Source organism: Homo sapiens, chromosome 20, assembly GCF_000001405.40.
Source record: "Homo sapiens chromosome 20, GRCh38.p14 Primary Assembly".
Lineage (NCBI taxonomy): Eukaryota > Metazoa > Chordata > Mammalia > Primates > Hominidae > Homo > Homo sapiens.
In genome coordinates, this window is record NC_000020.11 from 35,224,400 (window position 1) to 35,241,541 (window position 17,142).

General features: G+C 46.8%; 2 protein-coding genes across 4 annotated transcripts in view, besides 1 other annotated feature; one reads left to right on the forward strand and one right to left on the reverse strand.

The window, feature by feature from the left end:
* The window catches only part of MMP24-AS1-EDEM2 (MMP24-AS1-EDEM2 readthrough), a 162,759-nt gene that overhangs the window by 109,036 nt on the left and 36,581 nt on the right, over window positions 1-17,142 (reverse strand). Inside the window, exon 3 of the mRNA NM_001355008.2 lies at window positions 11,682-11,792. The gene's annotated coding sequence lies outside the window, so the exon portion shown is untranslated. The remainder of the gene's footprint in view (window positions 1-11,681; window positions 11,793-17,142) is intronic.
* The window catches only part of MMP24 (matrix metallopeptidase 24), a 50,309-nt gene continuing 35,457 nt past the window's right edge, over window positions 2,291-17,142 (forward strand). For all 3 annotated transcript variants that reach the window (NM_006690.4, XM_011528500.3, XM_017027597.2), the window contains exon 1: window positions 2,291-2,585. In NM_006690.4, the coding sequence (NP_006681.1) occupies window positions 2,340-2,585 (246 nt within the window). In that variant the 5' untranslated portion in view covers window positions 2,291-2,339. The remainder of the gene's footprint in view (window positions 2,586-17,142) is intronic.
* Window positions 14,434-14,573: an enhancer, noted in NCBI's record as "active region_17775". NCBI's record gives its function as "activates an Ori minimal core promoter by ATAC-STARR-seq in GM12878 lymphoblastoid cells {active_cell/tissue: GM12878}" and the evidence as "EXISTENCE:reporter gene assay evidence [ECO:0000049][PMID:35858748]".

A 17,142-nucleotide genomic window follows, 5' to 3' on the forward strand; every position in this document is an offset into this window, starting at 1 on the left:
CTGGTCTCAAACTCCTGGACTCATGTAATCCGCCTGCTTTGGCCTCCCAAAATGCTGGGATTACAGGTGTGAGTCACCACGCCCAGCCAACTCCTTCCTTTTCTTTGAACCTCTCTTCTTCTTTCCGGTGATACTCCACAATCCTGATTCTTCAGTCTTTTTGGACAATCTTTAGATTCACTTTTGGCTTGACTTTTCTCAGGCTCTGAATATGTATGTCTCAGGATGGAACTCTTGGCCTTTTGCTCTCTTCAACTCTTTGCTTTCAGCTTCAACTACCGTATTTACTTGAAGGTGTCCAAAATATCCATTCTCCACCTTCTTCGAGAACTCATTCCCATACCCATCTCACAGATCTTGTGGTCACCCCAGTTTCAGCAAGTCTAAAACCGAGCTCCTTGTCACCTCCTTCAAGCCAGTTCCTCCACATGAGGACTCCGTTTCTGTGAAGATGCTACCATCCATCTTTCTCGATTTGCCATCACTCCAAACTCCTTTCCCTCTTCTTGTATGCCCATTGTCTCTTAAATCTGTCTCTTTTCTCACCCCCATCCTAGAAAAAAATGGGTTCTGAAGTCAAATCGATTCAGCTCTATCACTTATGAATCACGCAAGTTTGGCAAACTTATTCAGAGTCTTCCACTTCTTTATCCTAAATTAGGGGTAATAATAGCATCTATTTCATAGGGTTTATCTATGAAGATTAAATGAGATATCGTGGAGGAAAGTGCTTAGCCCAGTAACTAGTATGTATTAGGCACTCAATAAATGTTAATTATTATTGTTATCCTTATTTCCTTATACTTAGACTATTACACTAGTCTCCTAACCAATCTCTCTGCCTCCTCTGGTCATTATTCTCTCCACTGGGAGGGGAACTAACATGGAATATCTATTAAGTGTCAAGCACCTCATGCTGAAAGCAATCTTATACAGTAATAGTAGCATCATTTTATAAAAATGGAACAGAGCCAAGATATGAACATAGGTCTGACGCTAAAGCCTGTGCCCTTTTTTCATCTCCAAATTACCACGTAATCATAAAATACTATTTTCACACATCATCCTGCTTAAACACACACATACACACACACACACCACACACACACAACCTTTAATGACCACCCTCCCCCATTTTCCTTCAGAACACAACCCAAATTTATTATCCTAGCATTCACTGTCTTGTACAACTTCCCTCACTTCCCAACACTTTCCTATAGGAACCCTGTGCTCCAGAGAAACTTATCTGCCGCCTCAGGCACATCCTGTACACCCTCAACTTCCTCCCTGAAATGCCCTCTCCTCTCCCCTCCCCTGGTTTAAATCCAGCCTTTCCTTCAGGTCCTAGCTAGAGTCCCACCCTCCTCCATTACACTTTTTCCTAACTTCCCCAGCCCCTCATCAGGTCTCCCTCGACCCCTGGAGCAGCCGCCTGTATCCTTGTTGACACGTGGTGTTTGCCATTCTGTTTTTCTTTGCGTTTATGTTTTCTCATCAAGCTGTAAACCTCTGCACTCCAGGAAATCGGCCTTCTCTTTTTTGTTTTTGTTTTTGGGTGTTTTTTTTTTTCCTTTCAGCATCCCAAGTAGCCCAGAGCCCTACAAATAGAAAGCGCTTGATAAATATGGGTTGTTTTGGATGAAAGATGATCTTCCCAGCTGGATGAGCTCTTTCCCTCTAGGGGTGAGGGACTGAGCTTCACCTCAACTTCACCTAATGTCTCACAGGAATGCCCCCTCTTAAACGCTCCTCAGGTCTTCTCTACCCCTTTCCCCCACCACCCCGGCCCAGGAGAGCCACTCAGAGCTCCCTCTCCGGAGTCACCCTCTCAGACCCAGGGCTATTTCTTTAGCTTGCTCTCGAACCCCGCCTTTACCCCAGAGCCGCTCCTCAGTCTCCTCCCCCAGGCTGCCTCTCAGGCCCCCTCTCCTCCAATGCCACTCCCTAGGACCCTCTCCCCAGGGTTCCGGACCCCCAACCCCGGATATGTTCCCCCAGGGCCATCCAGTTGTTCTACCTCCAGGATTACTGATTTAGCCTCTTCCCCCTCCTGCTCAGGGCTACCCCCAGACCCCGACCTCCAGTTCCACCCCTTCGGACCCTGCCTCTAGAACTGTTCTTTTAGCCTCTGCAACCCCCTCCCCAGCGCCGCTCCGCGGCCCCTGCCCCAGGGCTGGTCGGGGAGCCACTGCCCTCGCAGGTCCCGCCCGGGTGCTGCCCCCGCGCCCCCGGCCGCCCCCCACCGGGGCGGGGCGCGCGGAGGCGGGGGCGCGCTGGCGGCCGAGGCGGCGGCGGCGGCGGCGAAGGCAGGCGGGCCGGGCGCGGGCCCCGCCGCCGGGATGCCGAGGAGCCGGGGCGGCCGCGCCGCGCCGGGGCCGCCGCCGCCGCCGCCGCCGCCGGGCCAGGCCCCGCGCTGGAGCCGCTGGCGGGTCCCTGGGCGGCTGCTGCTGCTGCTGCTGCCCGCGCTCTGCTGCCTCCCGGGCGCCGCGCGGGCGGCGGCGGCGGCGGCGGGGGCAGGGAACCGGGCAGCGGTGGCGGTGGCGGTGGCGCGGGCGGACGAGGCGGAGGCGCCCTTCGCCGGGCAGGTGGGGCTGGCGCGCGGGGCCGGGGCGCGGGCTCGGGGCATCCGGGCAGGGCGGGGGGCGGCACCGGGGACGGGCCTGGGCCGGGCCGCACCTACTGCCGAGGTCGCGGAGGCGGCGCGCCGGGGGTCCGCGCCTTGGGTCCGGGCTGGCGCGGCCCAGGGCGGGGGCTGGGGAGGGCCTCGCCGAGGGCCGCCGAGGCCGGGAGCTGCTTCAGCACCGCGGACAGGGGCAGCGGGCGGGGGCCGAGCACGAGGGTCGGGTTTGTTGTGTTGGCAGTGGGGTGTGTGGCCTGCATGACTATGTGCGAGGGAAACCGTACAACGCCTCGGAGTAAATAGTAAGCGCAGCCAGTCTGTTGTGGGTTGGGAGAAGAAACCGAGGATGTTCAAGCTGGAGAAGGGGGAGGGGGAGGGCGGAGGAAGGACTCGATCACTGTCTTCGTAGCTGAAGGGCTGTCAGGTGGAGGTAGGATAGACTTGTTCTAGCTTGGCCCCACAGGGCAGAACTAGGGCCAGCGGGAGTGGGGGTTGCAAGAAGACAAATTTGGGCTCGATATAGGAAGAAGTTTGTAACAATTGGAGCTGCTCAACCAGCTTAGGAGGCGGCGAGCTGCTCATCACTGGCATGTGCAAGTAAAAGCTCTCGGAGGGGATTGGATGGAGGCATGCATAATGCTTGCATGGATGCATACATCATCATCACAATAATGCCAGCTAGCATTTACTGAACACTCACTATGTGCCAGGCCTGGTGCTATGTTTTATACGAATTATCCAATTCAATCCTCATAACTACTCTATGAAATAGCTGCAATTATTATCCCCATTTTACAGATGGGGATACAGACTCAAAGAGCTTAAGTAACTTGCCCAAGGTCACACAGCTAGTGAGTGATGGAATTGGAATTCTAACCTAGGCAGGCTGACTCTAGTCTCCCCTTATTTACCCATGACCTTATCCTATATCTCATGGGGGGTGCAGTTGGACTAATTTCTCTAGTATCTTCCAACCTAGAGGACTGCAATATTCTAATAAATGATGTTGGGACAATGGTGTTTTGCTGAGGAAAATCAGAGTGATAGCCTCGCCACCCTAAGAGATGGAGTATATTTGTTGAAGCAGGCAGTCTGTTTGTTTAGAAGAATCTGCCTCAAGAGATATTCTTAATTGGGCATGGAGCTCAGGGGGTCATACGTGCACTGAAATTGCGTACAAATTTGTAAGTGCAAATGTGTGTATTTCTAGGCGAGGACCCCTAGATTTCTTCAGCCTCTCAAAGGGTTACAGGTTCCACAAAACAACAAAAAAGATATGGTGTGTAAAAGAACCTTTAGTGCCAGTTGGCAGTTGTCCTCCAAAGATTTTATAATTGCTGGTTGACTTGTTGTGGAAACTTTGCTTAGCCTCTTTGTGTTTTCACATGTGTTTTATCACATGTTAAAGTAATGCATTTCCTAAGTTTATACCCTAGAAGAAAGATTGCTTTAGACTGCCTGAGTGCACAGGATGAGGTGGAAAGACCCTGGCCTGGGATTAAGGAGGCCTGGGCTCTGATCTGACCTTGGCCCCCATTGGTTTGTGTGACCTTGAGCCATTTCCTTGCCCTCTCTAGGCTTGAATTTCACCATGTCTAACATAAAGAGATAGAGCTAGACAATCTCAACTCTGAAACTTTTTTATTCCTACAATATTTCAAGCATTAAGAGGAAGCTAGTCCTTACCTGTATCAGTTTTATAGGCTTTGATTATTCCACCTCTTAGCCTTTGTCTTTTTAAACTTAAGTTTCCCCCTATGACACGAGACCCCTAGAATAGCCACACTCATTCTCTGGGTCATTTTAGTTGTCCTTTTCTAGATACCTTTTGGCCCTAATTTTCAATAGATGTCAACTTGACCATTGTCTCCAGATACAGGACCCTACGGTTTTGCATAAAGGAAGGTTGGTTTCTTCTTTGCTCTCCTGGTCCCATCCTGCTTCCCCCTTCCCTCTGTCAGCTTTCCTGATCTCAACACACTAGGCCACTGCCTTTAGGGAACAATCTATAATAGCTCCCGGAGCCTTTTCCTGGGTCAAAACTGATAGCCTGGAACACAACACCCTGTATGTGGATTATTTTTATCGGAGTGCATTACCTTACATTTCTCCACCTTGACGTTTGTCTGCCATCTTGCATTGCACTCAGTAACTTCCTTCAAGCATTCGCTCACTCTCTCTCTCCCTTCCTCCACCTCTTCCTCCTTCCTTCTCTTTTGGCATAGCATTTCCCTGTCTGAAAGGGCTTAATATGATCTGAAGTCTTGAAATTTTCACTTTGCTATATTTCTTCTGGATCACTTATAAAAAATTTAAGTGAGACAGGTCCCAGCATGGTCTCTTGGGGCCCCCTGCACTCTTAATCCCCTTTCATTCACGGAAGTGACCATTTATATCTATCTATTGTTTTCTAAGTGACAAAAACATCATCCTTAATTTGACAATGACTCCATTTTAAATGTCTAATACATTGTCCAAAACTTCCTGAAAGATAGACAAATTATATCCACTGCTTCTCTCAATAATTTGTGCCTAATTATCCTTTCACTGAACACTAGGGGATCACTTGATTGACACCTTATAGAAATATTGTTGCTTTTAAGCCGGCAGATAATATTGCTTACTCCTCTTTCTGTCTTTTAAGCCCTCTGGAGTCTGTCTCCACCCTACCCCTCCATTAGCAGGCCATATTTCCCACTGCTTATTGATAACGCATCCTTACTCGACAAGCTCATCTCTCCTTTACCCTTAGACAGGCTGCCCATATTTCTCTGGACATTGTCACATAGTTACTTCTGCACCCCTACCCGTTCATTTGAAACCTTTCCTTAAAGTTTCAGCTCAAGCCCTGCTTCTCCAATAAACTTTCCCTGATTTCTCTAGTTGTCATTTTCTTCTCTCTTCTCCAGGAAACATTTTTAAGGCAGCCCCAGCCAGTTTGTCATTTATTTATTTACTTATTTTTATTTATTTTATTTATTTATTTTTGAGACAGAGTCTCACTCTGTTGCCCAGGCTGGAGTGCAGTGGGGTGATCTCGGCTCACTGCAACCTCCGCCTCCCAGGTTCAAGCGATTCTCCTGCCTCAGCCTCCTGAGTAACTGGGATTACAGGCATGCACCACCACGCCCGGTTAATTTTTGTATTTTTAGTAGAGAAGGGTTTTCGCCGTATTGGCCAGGCTGGTCTCAAACTCGTGACCTCAAGTGATCCACCTTCCTCAGCCTCCCAAAGTGCTGGGATTATAGGTGTGAGCCACCGTGCCCAGCCCTATTTATTTTTTAATAGTTAAACATTATTTTTGGGGAGAGGAAGGTTGGTTCTTAGGCAAGGCTTTCTTGACCAAAATGTTTTATTTTTTTACATTGAACAAAATCCCTGATTCTCAATGCTCATCATTAAGTATTCAATGAGCAATCAATGATTCTACTCTTTATCCTTTATCTCAAAAAGTTACATGGATCTGAAATAGGCACTCATGGGCATGGGGCTCCAAGCCCCCTTCTAAAACCCTTCTTAGAGATGGGACTCATTGCCAACTTGTACTTTCTTCGGTAGAAATCAAGCCTATTCCTTTTGGCAGTGGTTCCACAAGCTCACCCTTGAGTTCCTTCAGAACTCTTTAGGTAGTCTTCTAATGGTAGTGGCATCAATAGAAAGAAATTGAGAGATAACCGTGACCTTAGAGATCACCCAGTACCTACTACAGCACTTACTAGATACTTCTTTAATTGAGTTGCCCAAGGGCACAGAACGTGATAGTAGATGATTCGGAACTACTGTAGAACTTTTCCTAGTTCTCCTGATTTCTAAATTGAAAGCATTTTTCATCATCATTGATTTTTCATTTCGTATCTATGATCTTTCATTACCAAGCCAAAAAATTTTTTTATTCAGTCTATCTTCTCCTTTGCTTTATTTTTCTCCACACCCCACAACCCCCGACCCCTTGAAGCTCAACAAACAGGATCCTATGCTTTCTTTAGTCTTTCTTTTTTATCTTACACATCAAGAGGTCCCACTGATTCTCTAACTGGCTTCCTTCATTTGATTTATTAAAAGCACCACTTCTCTTATTTGCTGAGTAGAATGCTCCTCAAATACTTTTCTGGCCTTCCTAGTTTCCAACTTGATTCTGAGGAAGATCAGAACAGGATGAAAGAGACAAGTCAATTATCACAGGCCACATGAATAAGTAACAGAGTGTGACTCCTAGACCCAGGACTTATGGATTCCTGCCCTTGAGACTGGTTTTGAGTGGTTTGTGCTGAGGAGATGGAGAACAGTCTTTGGTTTGAAACTGTAGTCAAGGAAGATTGACCCCGAATGATTGGAGGGGTAAGAGAGTGACCTACTAAGAAGCACCAACGTATTCCCAAATCAAAATATTCTTTCACTGTGATCATGGCCTCCAGTATATCTTCATTCTTGTCTGGAAAAAAAAAACTCACTATTAGGAAGTTTTCCCTTTTACATAAGCTGGATCTAGTCTACTGTATTTTTAATTCATTTTCTCTTATTTTTACTGTGGGGTTTCATATTACTTTAATAGCTGTTTATATTTGTAAGGTGCTTTGCACTTCCCATATGCCATGTATGTGGCCCTATTTGGTCCTGGGAACAATACCATGAGGTAGATAAGGAAGACATTGTCCTCATTTTATAGGTGAGTAAAAGGAGACTCAAAGATGATGTGAATTGCCTATCATCTTGTCTAAGGACCCACACATAGCTCATAAACATTAAAGCAGGCCAGGCATGGTGGCTCACACCTGTAATCCCAGCACTTTGGGAGGCCGAGGCAGGTGGATCACCTGAGGTCAGGAGTTTGAGACTAGCCTGGCCAACATGGTGAAACCCCATCTCTACTAAAAATACAAAAATTAGCTGAGCCTGGTGGTGCATGCCTGTAATCCCAGCTGCTGAGGCAGGAGAATTGCTTGAACCCCGGGGGCAGAGGTTGTAGTGAGCCAAGACTGTGCCACTTCACTCCAGCCTGGGCAAAAGAGTGAATCTCCGTCTCAGAAGAAAAAAAGAAATTAAAGCAAATAACAGAAGCTAGGTTTTCTGTTCTTGGGCTCAGCACTCTGCCCACTATACAAGTTTCCTGTTCTGGATTATTATTGTAGCCTTTTAGCCAGTCTTTTCTACTTTCAAGTATGTCCTACTCTGGTCCTTGAAAGAGGTATTTTTAGAACTAATAAAAGTAAATTATAATTGTACCCAAAAGACTAATCTTAGGAAATGCCTAGCCCTATAGTATGGTATTGTTTGAACTCAAAACAGGAAGAACAAACCACAGCCAATATCTCCTCAGTACCTAGCACAGTGCATGATACATTCTGGACATGTGATAAATATTTTAAAATTAATTTTGTTATCTAATCCCCATCAACTTCTTTGAATAGTGCTTGGCACACAAAAGTCGCTACCTTTTGTGAAGAATAAATGAATGCATGCTAGAGGTATAACAAGGTGCCGGGAAGCACCGAAGAGGGAGGAGATGAGGTTCCCCAGTTGAGGTTCGGGAAGCCAGAGAATGCTTCAGGAAGAAGGTGGTATCTGAGATGAACCTTTGAGGGAGGAGAATGATGGAGAAGGGTGAGTGGGGCAGTCCAGGCAGAATAAAAAATATGAACCATGGCTCCACAAAAATGCATGGCATGTTTAGGAAACAGTGGATAATTTGATGTGCCTGAATCATCAAGTTACTTGCTGTTTCCAGTAAGAGTGTATAAGGAGAAGAGGCTGGAGAGGGAGACTGAGAGCAGATTGTGCATTTGGCTTTTGTCCAAAGGCTGAGGGGAGTCATTAAAGGTTTCTGAGCAGAGGAGCGACCTGCTCAGAGCCATGTTGAGGAAGTGGAGGGACTGGAGTTTGTTCCTGAGTTGTTCTGGCTGCTGGCTCCTGCCCTGAATGCTTTTAAGCTTTCTTAGCACAACTTAGGGGCGAGTACTCATTTTAGGGCTCAAGTGACCCGCCCACCTTGGCCTCCCAAAGGGCTTACAGGCATGAGCCCTGGCCTTGCCTGTTAGCAGTAATTTAAAGACTCAATTCTATGCCACAAACACTTACGAGGCATAAAGGGCACCAAAAGTACTTGGCCAGAAAGTCAGGAGTTGTTCTTTACTCCTTTCTCTCTTTATACATATGTATGTATAAAGATCATTTGAGGCCAGGAGTTCGAGACCAGCCTGGCCAACATGGTGAAACCCTATCTCTATTAAAAATACAAAAAAATTAGCTATGCATGGTGGTACATGCCTGTAGTTCCAGCTACTTGGGTGGCTGAGGCACAAGAATCACTTGAACCTGGGAGGCGGAGGTTACAGTGAGCCAGGATTGAACTACTGTACTCCAGCCAAAGCAAGACTCTGTATCAAAAATCAATCAATGAATCAATCAATCAGTCCACTCAGGAGTCAGTTATATCTGAAGCCTATATGGCAAAAACTAATGTTTGACAAAGCTGGCTGGTGATTTTCCAATATATATTGTTATTTTATGCCTTTCTGAATGACTGAAATATTGAATAATAAAAAAAATTAAAAACAAACCAAAATCTGATCACCTTACTCCCACCCTCACCTGGCTTAAAATGACTCTTAGGACAAAGATTATACTATTATTACTGTACTACTATCACTTCTTCCTTTTAGTTTTATTATGGAAAACTTTCAAATGCATATGAAAATGGAAAGAACAATATTATAAACTCCCTTGGACGCAGCACCCACAAGGATCACTTGAGTCCGGGAGTTTGAGACCAGCCTGTGCAACATGGCAAAACCCCATCTCTACAAAAAAATACAAAGAGTAGCTGGGTGTGGTGGCATGTGCCTGTAGTCACAGCTACTTGGGAGGCTGAGGCAGGAGGATTGCTTGAGCCCAGGAAGCTGAGGCTACAGTGGACAGAGATCACACCACTGCACTCAAGCCTGGGCCACAGCGCAAAACCCTGTCTAAAACAAAAACAAAAACATGCTTAATGAAGCCGATGAGGCCCTGCATGACTGAGTCCTTCCCATCTCTCTGACTTCCTTTTATACCACCCATTCTCCCCATTGGTCACTAGACTCCAGTCACCCTGCCCTTCCCTCTCTTTTTCTAATATACAGGCTCCTTCCCATTCAGGAATTCAGTAAGGTACTCTTTCCTGGAGTCTCATTCTCAGCCTTCACCTAGCCTCTTCTGTTCATTCACAGATGTCAGCTGAGATGTCATGTACTCAGGGAGGCCATCCCTGATATCACAGCCTATATCTCCTGCCACACACTTTTGTAGCTCCTGGTTCTTCTCTTTCATTCCACTTATCACCACTGTAATGAAATGTTTAGTATTTCCATGTCTATCTCTCCCACCGGCTGTAACTTCCATGAGGATGAGTTCAAAGGGGACTACAGGCATGTAAACCATTATTTATAATGTAATACAAAATATGCTATAAATGAGGATACATATAATGCCATTGGGAGCACATAGAAAGTCCATTTAACCCCAGACAGATAGCCCTCCCTGATGAAGTGGCATTCAAGTTGCATTTTGAAGTAGCGCACCATGGGGAGGCCAGAGTACATATGGGAAAGGAGTTCTAGGGAGAGGGAATGAAATAAAGGCACAGAGGCAGGACTCTGCAGGATATGCTCAGGCAACACAATTAGGTCAGTATAGCTAGAGGTTGGGGTACTTGAGGTGAGCAATAAAGGGTAGAAGGTACAGGACAGAACATGAGGCTGGCAGAACCAGGCATGGTGGCTCATGCCTGTAATCCCAGCTTCTCAGGAGGCTGAGGCTGGAGGATTGCTTGAGACCAAGAGTTTGAGGTCATAGTGAGCTATGATTGTGCCACTGCACTCCAGCCTGAGCGACAGAGCAGAACCCCATCTCTACAAAAGAAAACAGGGCTGGAAAGGTGCATTGGCATCACATTGTAAGGGTTGTTGTGTCATGCTAAAGAATCTGGACTTTAAGACTGGCAATGAGGAACCAGAAGATCGGCTTCACAGTCAATCCACTTAGGCTAAAATAATGGAACTTTTTAACATGACTTACAGGTTATTTAGTTCAACCATCTCCCTGTTGCAGTTAAGAAACTGAGACTTGGTCTGGCTGTGGGGCTCACATCTGTAACCCTAGCACTTTGGGAGGCCAAGCTGGGAGGATCACTTGAGCCCAGGAGTTTGAGACCAGCCTGGGCAACATGGCGAAACCCTATCTCTACAAAAAATACAAAGATTAGCTGTGTATGGTGGCATACACCTACAGTCACAGCTACTTGGGAGACTGAGGCAGGAGGATTGCTTGAGCCCAAGAAGTTGAGGCTACAGAGAGCAGAGATTGTACCACTGCACTGCAGCCTGGGCCATAGAGTGAAACCCTGTCTTAAAAAAATTAGGCCAGGTGCAGTGGCTCACACTTGTAATCCCAGCACTTTGGGAGGCTGAGGTGGGTGGATCACCTGAGGTCAGAAGTTCGAGATCAGCCTGGCCAATAGGGTGAAACCCTGTCTTTACTAAAAAATACAAAGAATTAGCTGAGCGTGGTGGTGGGCACCTGTAATCCCAGCTACTTAGGAGGCTGAGGCAGGAGAATCACTTGAACCCGAGAGGCGGAGGTTGCAGTGAGCCAAAATCACGCCATTGCACTCCAGCCTGGGTGACAAGAGCAAGACTATGTCTCAAAAAAAAATTTTTTTTAATTTAAATTTTAAAAACCCTGAGGCCTGGCCACTGGTCTTTGTCTTCACTTTTCCCTTTTCTTAACTCACCAAGAAGTCGAGCCTCAGGGGACAGAAAATTAGCAGATCTGCGGGAGGGCCTTGGACAGGGTGAGGAAGACTAAGGCCTCTCCTTTTCCAGAGAGTGAATGAGACCATGGCCACACTCCTGACTGTGGGCAGAGGCCTCCCCAGAACTGCAAAACTTGGACATCCCAGTGCTGACCCAAAACCCCAAATGTGCCACCTCCCCGGGTATGGTGATCATCTGGCTTGTGGTGGCCTCCTGGGAGTGGGCCAAGGACATTCTGCAGAGCGCCAGGGAATTCCCGCTAGTGCACTTACCACCCACTCAAGAGCCGATGGCAGCCAACAGGCAATGCTGCGCCATTAAGGTGTTTGTCAAGAAGCTAAGCTGGGCATTGTGGGCGATCCTGAGGGCCCTTTTTAGATTGGCTGTAAGTGAAGAAAAAAAACAGCATTTGGAGGCAAACTAGAGCTAGTGCAGAGGGTGTAGCATGACAGAAAACCCTCTGAGAGGCAGAGATGCTTGCCTCCATGTCTGGCTTCCTTACCAACTTGCTCTGTGATTTTGAATAAGTCATTTCCCCTCCCGGAGTTTTCTTTCTCTCTTCTGCAAAACAAGTATGTTAAATTAGATGATCTCTGAGTATTGGTGACCAGTGCATTTTCTAGATACCTGAATGATTATGCCTTCAGTATGAAATTTTACGAATTAGTTATATAACTCAGGTGGGCTCAGCAGCAAGGCTGGGACCTCAGTTATATGGGTAGAGGAGGAAGCAGGGTTTTGGTGGGACAAGAAGTGGAGGGAACTGACACAGTGATAGGACCCATCCCTGAGGAGTCACCAGAAAGACCCAGTGATTTGGTCTGGCAGCAATAACCAAACGTGGTGGTCAAAGAGGAGAAATGACTTATTAAAAATCACCAAGGGCTGGGTGAGGTGGCTCACACCTGTAATCCCAGCACTTTGGGAGGCTGAGGTGAGTGGACCACCTAAGATCAGGAGTTCGAGACCAGCCTGACTAACATGGTGAAACCCTGTCTCTACTAAAAATACAAAAATTAGCCGGGCATGGTGGCGTGCACCTGTAATTCCAACTACTCGGGAGGCTGAGGCAGGAGAATCACTTGAACCCAGGAGGCAGAGGTTGCAGTGAGCCAAGATCGCACCACTGCACTCCAGCCTGTGCGACAGAGCGAGACACCATCTCAAAAAAAAAAAAAAAAAAAAAATCACTAAGAGCAAGTTGGTGGGGGAGCTGGGAATGGAGCCAAGCGTCTCTGCCTTTCAGCGGTTCTTTCCAAGGAGTATGGGAGCAGGAATAGACAATAACATTGTACGAACACTTACTATGTGCCAGAATCTGCTAAATGCTTCTTGCTGCTGTAACAAATTACCACAAACTTATTTCTAAAAGCAACACAGACTTGTTTTCTTACATTTCTGGAGGTCAGAAGTCCAAAATGGGTCTTGCTGGACTGAAATCAAGTTATTGGCAGGGCTGCATTCCTGCTGGAGTTTCTAGGAGAGGATCTCTTCCTTGCCTTTTCCAGTGTCTAGAGAATGCCCGCATCCCTTGGCTTGTGGCCCCTTCTAGCAGCAGCAGCACTGCTATAACCTATGTCTCCCAACACCTTCTCTGACTCAAACCCCCTGCCTTCCTCTTATAAGGATGCTTGTGATTTCATTAGACCCACCTGGATAATCCGGGCTAATCTCCCCCATCTGAAGATCCTTAACTTAATCATTTCTATAAAGTCTCTTTTACCACATAAGGCAACATATTCCCAGGTTTTGGGGATTAGGATGTGGCTGTCTTTGAAGGGTCATTATTTTACCTACCACAGTGCATCATCTCACTGAGTCCTCCTAACAGCCCTTCTTTAAACATCTGTTTAACAGATGAGGAATGTGATGCTTAGAGGAGTTAGGTCATTTGCCCAAGGGCACTCTGCTGGAAAGAGAAAAGTTAGGTAATATTTGGTATGTGGTGGCATCTTGGTCCCAAGTGAGCTGTCTTTTTAGATAGGACCCCATTCAGCTCCCAAGTGTATTGAGAATACAGTCTAACTCTGTGGAGGAGGCTGTCTAAGAACTAGGCAGGGAATCTGAGACCCTGAAAAATAGATTAGGGTCACAGCAGTCTCAGCTTAGAACTTGAATGCTAGAGAGAGAAACTGAGGGAAAAAACCCAGTTGTAAGCATTAAGCCAATATAGCAATGGATGAGGAAGAATGATCTTAGGCCACCATTCATGCCTGCATACAGTGATACAATAATATCTTAGTGTTGGGGGTTGAAGCTGCTGATGGACCATTTGCTCAAGTTAGGATTGACCAAGGAGATGGACAAGGTGAGGGACTCAGAGATAACTGCAGAGCCGAGGCACAGAGAGCAGAGGCTGGCTACTGAGCCAGTGCTAATAGAAGACTTTTCTAAATGGGTAACATAGTCAATTATAAGTGACACTGAACAACATGTCCATTTCGTCATGGTTATGGCAGGCCCTGTGCTAGCTGTTGGGGTGACAATGATGAGGAGGACATATATGCATTTTAGAGTCAGGAGGAAGCGACAGATATTTCAACATGTGGTTACAATACAGTGTGGTAAGAATTGCGATAAGGAAACAGATGGGGGACTGACAGGGATGTACAAGGACCTTCTGAAATAGATGTAAGAGGCCAAGGCTCCCCAAAGAGGGAGGAGGGGAGAGTGAACTGAATAGAAGGAACAATACGTGTAAGGGCCTGGGAGAACTGGAACTCACTGGAACACAGAGCACTAGGTGGGGAAAGATAAAAGGGGTTGCAGAGGGAGTCAGGGACCATATCATAAAGGCTCTTAACTGCAGAGATGGAAAGCTCTTAGAGCCACCTCAGGGCATTCACACTTACTGTTCCCTCATCCTGGAACACGCTTTCCTAGTAGCCACAGGGTCCACTCCCTCACCTCCTTCAGATCTCTTGCTCAAATGTCACCTGCTCAAAGAGATTGTCCCTGATCACCCTCCATAAATAGCTGTCCCACTCTCCATCTCTCCAACCGGCTCTATTCTTCACAGCACTTATTCCCACATGGTTCTTCCACTAGACCATAACTACTAGAAAGTAACTAGAATGCTGTTTTTGGTTTTTGTTTTTGTTTCTGTTTTAGACATGGTCTCATTCTGTCGCCCACAGCCCACTGCAGCCTCCAACTCCTGGGCTCAAGGATCTTCCTGCCACAGTCTCCAGAGCAGCTAGGACTACAGGGGTGTGTCACCACGCCTGGCTACTTTTTTCAATTTTTTTTTTTTTTTTTAGACAGAGTCTTGCTCTGTCGCCAGGCTGGGGTGCAGTGCCGTGATCTTGGCTCACTGCAACCTCCACCTCCTGGGGTCAAGCGATTCTCCTGCCTCAGCCTCCCGAGTAGCTAGGATTACAGGCGCACGCCCGGCTAATTTTTGTATTTTTAGTAGAGATGGGGTTTCACCGTGTTGGCCAGGATGGTCTCGATCTCTTGACCTCATGATCTGTCTGCCTCGGCCTCTCAAAGTGCTGAGATTACAGGCATGAGCCACCACGCCTGGCTGTTTTTCAATTTTTTTCTTTTTTTGTAGAGAGGTGTCTTGCTATGTTGGCCAGGCTGGGACTAGAATGTTTTTGTTTGCTCTTTTAGCCCTAGCACACAGTACTTGGTACATAGTAGGTCCTCAATAAATATTTATTGAATGAAGGGACAGAAATAAACATTTGATGTTTAGGAGGTAGGACCCATAGTTCTTTGGTAAAAGACTAGTGTGCTGTGGCTCACGCCTGTAATCCCAGCACTTTATGAGGCCAAGGCAGATGTATCACTTGAGCCTAGGAGTTCAAGACCAGCCCTAGCAACACAGCGAGACTTCGTCTCCACAAAAGATTAAAAAAGAAAAATTAGCCAGGCGTGGTGGCAAACGCCTGTAGTCCCAGCTACTCAGGAGGCTGAGGTGGGAGGATCACTTGAGCCCAGAAGTTCAAGGCTGCAGTGAGCCATGGCTGAGAGCGAGACCCTGTCTCAAAAAAAAACCAACCAAACAAACAAACAAAAAAGGAAACTGGATGTAGGCAGTGAAGGAGAGGGAAGAGTCACAGGTCATATGAGGCTGCTGGTTTGGACAACTGGGTAGCTGATGGTGCCATACCCTGACATAGCACAGGCATATTGAGCTCACTATTGTCTGAGATAAGGCATTGCACTCCAGGAGTGTGAGGTATAGGAAGTCCTGGGAGGGGGAAGGGCTGCCTGTCCAACACTCTGACCGTACGGAATATGCCTGAATTCTGCCATTTCTTAGCTTTAGGGCTCTGGATACTTGTAGGCACTGCCAGAGCTCTGCCTCTTGCCACCCCCATTGCCACTTCTAACCTCACCACCACCTCTGCTGTCTCCCGCTCTCTTCCCTCTTCTGTGCACATTTTGTTCTCCTTGGTATTCTCTGCTCTCTCCTTTCACTGCCACCACTCCGGGACTTCTCAGCTTTGGCTTCTCAGGAACCCAAATCCTGCCTTCTGGCCGGCAGACCAGTCACACCATATTGTCTATGATCTCTACGTCTTTGGCTCAGCCCAGCTATTTTGGTCTCTGCTTGCACTCTGAGATTTTTCTTACTTTCCTCTGGGTTTACACCTCTTTCTGCACTTAAAGGGTGACAGACATCTTAAGAGTTGGTTAACTGAGCTGTAAAGGTTAGACTTCTGACGTGGCTGATGATTGATTAATGGATCTAGGTGTAAAGAGATGAAAGCAAGGTCATTCTGTCTAAAAGTGAATGGGACTTTTTTCCTTCAGTGGGTTTTATCTTTTTTTTCAAATGGAACAATGGAACCTATTGCCTCATCAAGCAAGGAAGTCAAATCACAATAGATTGAATTTCAGCAAGTGTTTTTTGAAACCTCTAATAGATACCAGGAATTGTGCTTGGTGCTTTCAGTGTATTACTAAATCTTCCCAAGATGAAGTCCCTTCCTTGATATCCAGGCAGTGCCTCCTAGATCAACTGTTCATTCATTAACTCAGTGATTATTTCTTGTGTCAGACACTGTGCTAAATACTATAACAGATACAAAAATAAATATGACACCATCTCTGTTCTCCAGGAACTCAATCTAGTGGGAAAAACAGACATATCCATGACTGGGTATGATACATTGTGGTAGCTGTGTGTACAAAGTACTGCAGGAGTAAAGAGGGCACCCACTAGCTCTGACAGGGAGAGCTAAGGAAGATTTAACAAAGGAGGTGACATTGAGCTAGACCTTGAAGGATGAGTAGGAGTTTGCTAATGTGCATAAAGAGAATGGGTTTTGGAGGCAGCAGAAACAGCCTGGAACTGTGAAGGGCAGAGAGTGCTTTGGACTTGCTATGACTGGAATGTAGAACACTTGCTCTAGCCTCAGGAGTTCTGCCCAGAGAAGGCAGAGGATTGTCTGGGTCACAGAGAAAGTGAGTGGCAGAGACAGGATTAAGCAGCATGAATTAGAATTGTCCGACCCCGATCCATCTTCCTTAGCCTCTAATACACACACACAGACACACAGACACACACACACATAATGCTAGTCCAACTTCTTGTCCTGTCCCCTGGCTTAGATGCTGTCATTCGACTGCCCCCACCCCATTTGCCCTTCTAGGAGTGTGCCCCTAGGCTCTGAGGATTGTCCCCAGAGAACCTGGGAGAGAAACAGAGCCTAGAGAATATTAGAGAATACACTAATACTGGCCCACCCCCACCATGTGTCTGATCCATCCCAGTGTTTA